The sequence below is a fragment of the Homo sapiens genome, chromosome 19 (assembly GCF_000001405.40).
Source record: "Homo sapiens chromosome 19, GRCh38.p14 Primary Assembly".
Taxonomy (NCBI): domain Eukaryota; kingdom Metazoa; phylum Chordata; class Mammalia; order Primates; family Hominidae; genus Homo; species Homo sapiens.
Window position 1 is genome coordinate 24,176,659 of NC_000019.10, and position 4,471 is coordinate 24,181,129.

Below are 4,471 nucleotides of genomic sequence, written 5' to 3' on the forward strand. Positions count from 1 at the left end.
CAAGCTAGCCATATGTAGAAAGCTGAAACTTGATCCCTTCCTTACACCTTATACAAAAATTAATTCAAGGTGGATTAAAGACTTAAACGTTAGACCTAAAACCATAAAAGCCCTAGAAGAAAACCTAGGCAATACCATTCAGGACATAGGCATGGGCAAGGACTTCATGTCTAAAACACCAAAAGCAATGGCAACAAAAGCCAAAATTGAGAAATGGGATCTAATTAAATTAAAGAGCTTCTGCACAGCTAAAGAAACTACCATCAGAGTGAACAGGCAACCTACAGAATGGGAGAAAATTTTTGCAATCTACTCATCTGATAAAGAGCTAATATCCAGAATCTACAATGAACTCAAACAAATTTACAAGTAAAAAAGAACAACCCCATCAAAAAGTGGGCAAAGGATGTGAACAGACACTTCTCAAAAGAAGACATTTATGCAGCCAAAAAACACATGAAAAACTGCTCCTCATCACTGGTCATTAGAGAAATGCAAATCGAAACCATAATGAGATACCATCTCACACTAGTTAGAATGGCGATCATTAAAAAGTCAGGAAACAACAGGTGCTGGAGAGGATGTGGAGAAATAGGAACACTTTTACACTGTTGGTGGGACTGTAAACTAGTTCAACCATTGTGGAAGTCAGTGTGGCAATTCCTCAGGGGTCTAGAACTAGAAATACCATTTGACCCAGCCATTCCATTACGGGATATATACCCAAAGGATTATAAATCATGCTGCTATAAAGACACATGCACATGTATGTTTATTGCAGCTCTATTCACAATAGCAAAGACTTGGAACCAAATCTTTATATTTTTTATTCACCCTTCTCTCTCTCTCCACAACCACTAACATAACCACCCACAAAAGAAGAAGACAATCCCTTCAATGTTCCCCGAATGTGTGCTGCTGCTAGCTCGGAAGCTCTGTAGAGTTTTGTAACGGAGTGTGAACTGCTGGCCTGGATCTCCTAACCAGTAAGGAGAGAGGGAGGACAAATCCGCTGAGCAGGTAAAAATTCTTTCCTCCTCGTTATAATCTTTCATGGATTCAGCACTGAGGAGAGTGGCCAGGGCATGGGGCCCGTGCAAAGTGGCCCAATGGCCAGCACGTTCTGCACCGAGCAGGGTCCCCACGCCCTGCATATCTCCGCCCTGCCTGGAAAGGAAGTGGTCCCGCCAGGCAGTGGAATCGGCCGCTGTGCCCCATCCTCACTCTGGGCCAGGGAATGGGTCACATCCTCGATGTGCCCTCGGCCCAGAAAACGCGCCGCTTCGCAAGGAGGGCGTCGGCAACTGGAATGACATCCCCTACTCCTTAGTAAACATTAGGGTCGCAGTTTCCTAACAGACATGAGTGGGATGGGGAGAGGGGTCCCAGGCAGAGGCTGGTGCTGGGGGCAGAGGAAACCACAGTAGGATGAGGGCCGGTGTGGGAGGAGGAAGGGAAGCCCCGGAACTGCTACAAATTTTTTCAGCGGGAGAAGGTCCTCCGCCTTTTTCCAGGACTCACGAGGCACCTGGCACCGAGCCCCCGACTCGCACAAGGAAGGTGAACTCCACACTGATGGATCCCTGTAAAACACGCACCTGTCCAATGGAAGGGCGAGGAACGATCGGCGCCCCCATGGCAAGTCCCTGACACCCTTCTTTCCTGTGTGCCTTAGGTGGTAGTCGGCCACAACACAACCGCCAGCCAGGAAAAGGCCAGGGTGCGGGGATGCCCGCTGCCCCCTCGACGCCAGTGTCCTCTGCCCAGGAAGATCAAATCCGCAGAGCAGGGTGCGACAGGGGCTTCCACCAAATACCTTGGCGAGAGCACCCCAGGAGGCCACCTCACGGCTGGCACCCCCAATGCTTTGCGGCTGCAGGGGAAAGCAGGAGCCCTAGTTTCCAGGATTCCCTGCCAGAAAGGGCCTGGAAGGACCACAGAAGGAAAGTTCCTCATTCCACAGGGGAAGGATGCCGGGAGACAGAGGGCAGAAAGTGGTGGGCAGCGTTGGGAAGATGTTTCTGGCATTCAAGGCTTGCACCTTCTGAGTCCTGGTGGTGCTGTAGCAAATGAATTCACCCCGCTATTCCGGGAGGCCAAGGCAGGTGGAGCATTCGAGCCCAGAAATTTCAAATCAGCCTGGGCAACGTGGTCAGACGCCGTCACTACAAAAAACATTTAGTCAGGTGTGATGGGCCACGCCTGTATTCCCAGCTACTCGGGAGGCTGAGGTGAGAGGATCTCTTGAGACTACAGTGAGTCATAATCTTGTGCCACTGCACTTCAGCCTAGGTGACGGAGCAAGACCCTTTATCAAAAAATAAATAAATAAACAACTATATAAATAAACTCAGCCACGGGGGTTGGGCCCGATTCCTATCCTCCACAAGCTAATATAGATACACATTAGGTTTTGCTAGTGCAGCGCTGCAGAAGCTGCCACTATGTGTGCTGGATGCTGATTGGCATGACCAGTGGCTCTGTAAGAGGAGGAGTAGCAGTGGAGGAGTGGAGATAGAGGAAGAGGAAAAAAGAAGGGGAGAAGAAAAGGAGAAGAGGAAAAGGAGGAGAGAAAATGGGAGGAGAAAATGAGAAGAACAAGAGGAGAGGAGGAGAAAATGAGAAAAAGATAGTAAGAATAGAGGAAGTGGAGAAAAAAAAACATCAGAAGGGGACAATGGGACCAGGAGAAGAGACGAGGAAAAGGAAGCTGGGACAACGAGAGGAGAAGGAAAAGATAATGAGGAGGAGGAAAAGAGGAGGACTAAGAGGAGAGGTGGAGAGAAAAAGGAGGGAAGGAGGAAGAGGAGTAGGAGAGGAAGAGGAGCAGGAGGATGGGAGAAGTATGAAGAGAAAATGAATAAGGAAGCGAAGGAGGAGAGGAAGAGATGAGAAGGACGAGAGGAGGAGGAAGAGGAAAGAAGAAAGAGGAGAGGAGGAAAGAAGAAAGAGGAGAGGAGGAGCAGAGAAGAGGAGGAGGATAAAAAGGAGAAGGGTAGGAGAAGAGAAGGAGGAGAAGAGTGAGAAAAGGAGGAAGACAGGACGAGGAGGAGCAGAGGAGGAAGTAAAGAGGGAAGAAGGAGAGAAGGAGAAGAAGAGACAGGAAAAGGGGAGGAGGAGGGGAGGGGGAGAAGAAGACGAGAAGGAGGAGGAGAGGAAAAGGAGAAGCAGGAAAAGAGATGGAGGAGAAGAGGAAAGGAAAAGAAGGAGAAGATGAGGAGAAGAGAAGAGGAGGAAGAGCAGGAGATGAGAAGGAGAAGAAAAGGAGGAGAGGAAGAGGAGAAGAAAGGTGAGAGGAAAAAAGAGGAGTAGAAGAGGAGAAGGTGGAGGAGGAGAGAAGGAGGAAGAGGAGGAGAAGGAGGAGAGGAGGAGCAGAGAAGGAGGAGGAGAGAAGGAATGGAGGAAGAATAGGAGAGAAGTAGGAGGAGGGAAAAGAAGAAGGAGGGGAGGATGAGAGGAGAAGGAGGAGGAACAGGAGAAGAGGAGACAGAGAGGAGGAAAAGAAGGAAAGGAAGAGGAGATGCAGGAGGAAAAAGAAGGAAAGGAGGAGGAGAAGGTAGACGAGGAGAGGAGAAAGAGGAAGAGAAAATGAGGAGAAGTAGAAGGAGGTGAGGAGGAGGAGAGAAGGAGAAAAGGGGAGGAGAATGGGGGGATTAGGAGAGGAGAAAAAGGAGAAGGAGAGTAGAAAAAGGAGTAGGAGGAGAACAGGAGAAGGAGGAGGAGGAAAAAGAGTAGGAGAGGAGAAGGAGGAGGAGTGGAGGAGGAAGAGGAAGAGGAGACAAGGAGAAGGAGGAGAGCAGGAGGAAGAGAGGAAAAGGAGTGGAGGAGGAAGAGGAGATGAAGAGAGGAAGAGAAGGAGGAGGAAGGAGGAAGAGGAGAGGAGAAGGAAGAGTAGGAGGAGAAAAGGAGAGGAGGAAGAGGAGAAGGAGGAGGAGATGAGGAGGAAGAAAAGGAAAGAAAGAAGAGGAGGAGAGGAGAAGAAGGAGGAGTTGAGGAGGAGAGGAGTCAGAGAAGGAGTAGGAGAGGAGGCAAAGTAAAAGATTGGTAGTAGGAGGAAAGGTTTAGGGGGAAAAGGAGAGGAGCAGAATCAGGAGGAAAAGAGGAGGAGATGGGGAGGAACAGAGTAGGAGATGAGAAAAAGGAGGAGGAGAAGAGAAGGAGGAGAAAGACAAGAGCAGGAGATGAGAAGGAGGAACAGAGTAGGAGATGAGAAAAAGGAGGAGGGGAAGAGGAGAAGGAGGAGGAGGATGAGAGCAGGAGAGGAGAAGGACAAGGAGAGGAGATGAAGGAGAAATAAAGTAGAAGGAGGGAGAGGAGAAAAAGAGTAGGAGGAGAAGCAGAGGAGCAGGAGATAAAGGATAAAATGAGAGGAGGAGGAGAAATAGAGGAGAAGCAGAGGAGCAGGAGATAAAGGATAAAATGAGAGGAGGAGGAGAAATAGAGGAGAACCAGTGGAGAAGGAGGAGGATGA

At 49.3% G+C, this 4,471-nt stretch overlaps 1 long non-coding RNA gene across 1 annotated transcript; it reads left to right on the top strand.

Annotated features, from left to right (window-relative positions):
• The first annotated feature begins 778 nt into the window (after positions 1 to 778).
• LOC124904678 (uncharacterized) lies at positions 779 to 2,353 on the top strand. Its single transcript, XR_007067210.1, has 2 exons — positions 779 to 1,020; positions 1,676 to 2,353. It is a non-coding gene; the product is annotated as an uncharacterized LOC124904678 (long non-coding RNA).
• Positions 2,354 to 4,471: the final 2,118 nt, after the last annotated feature.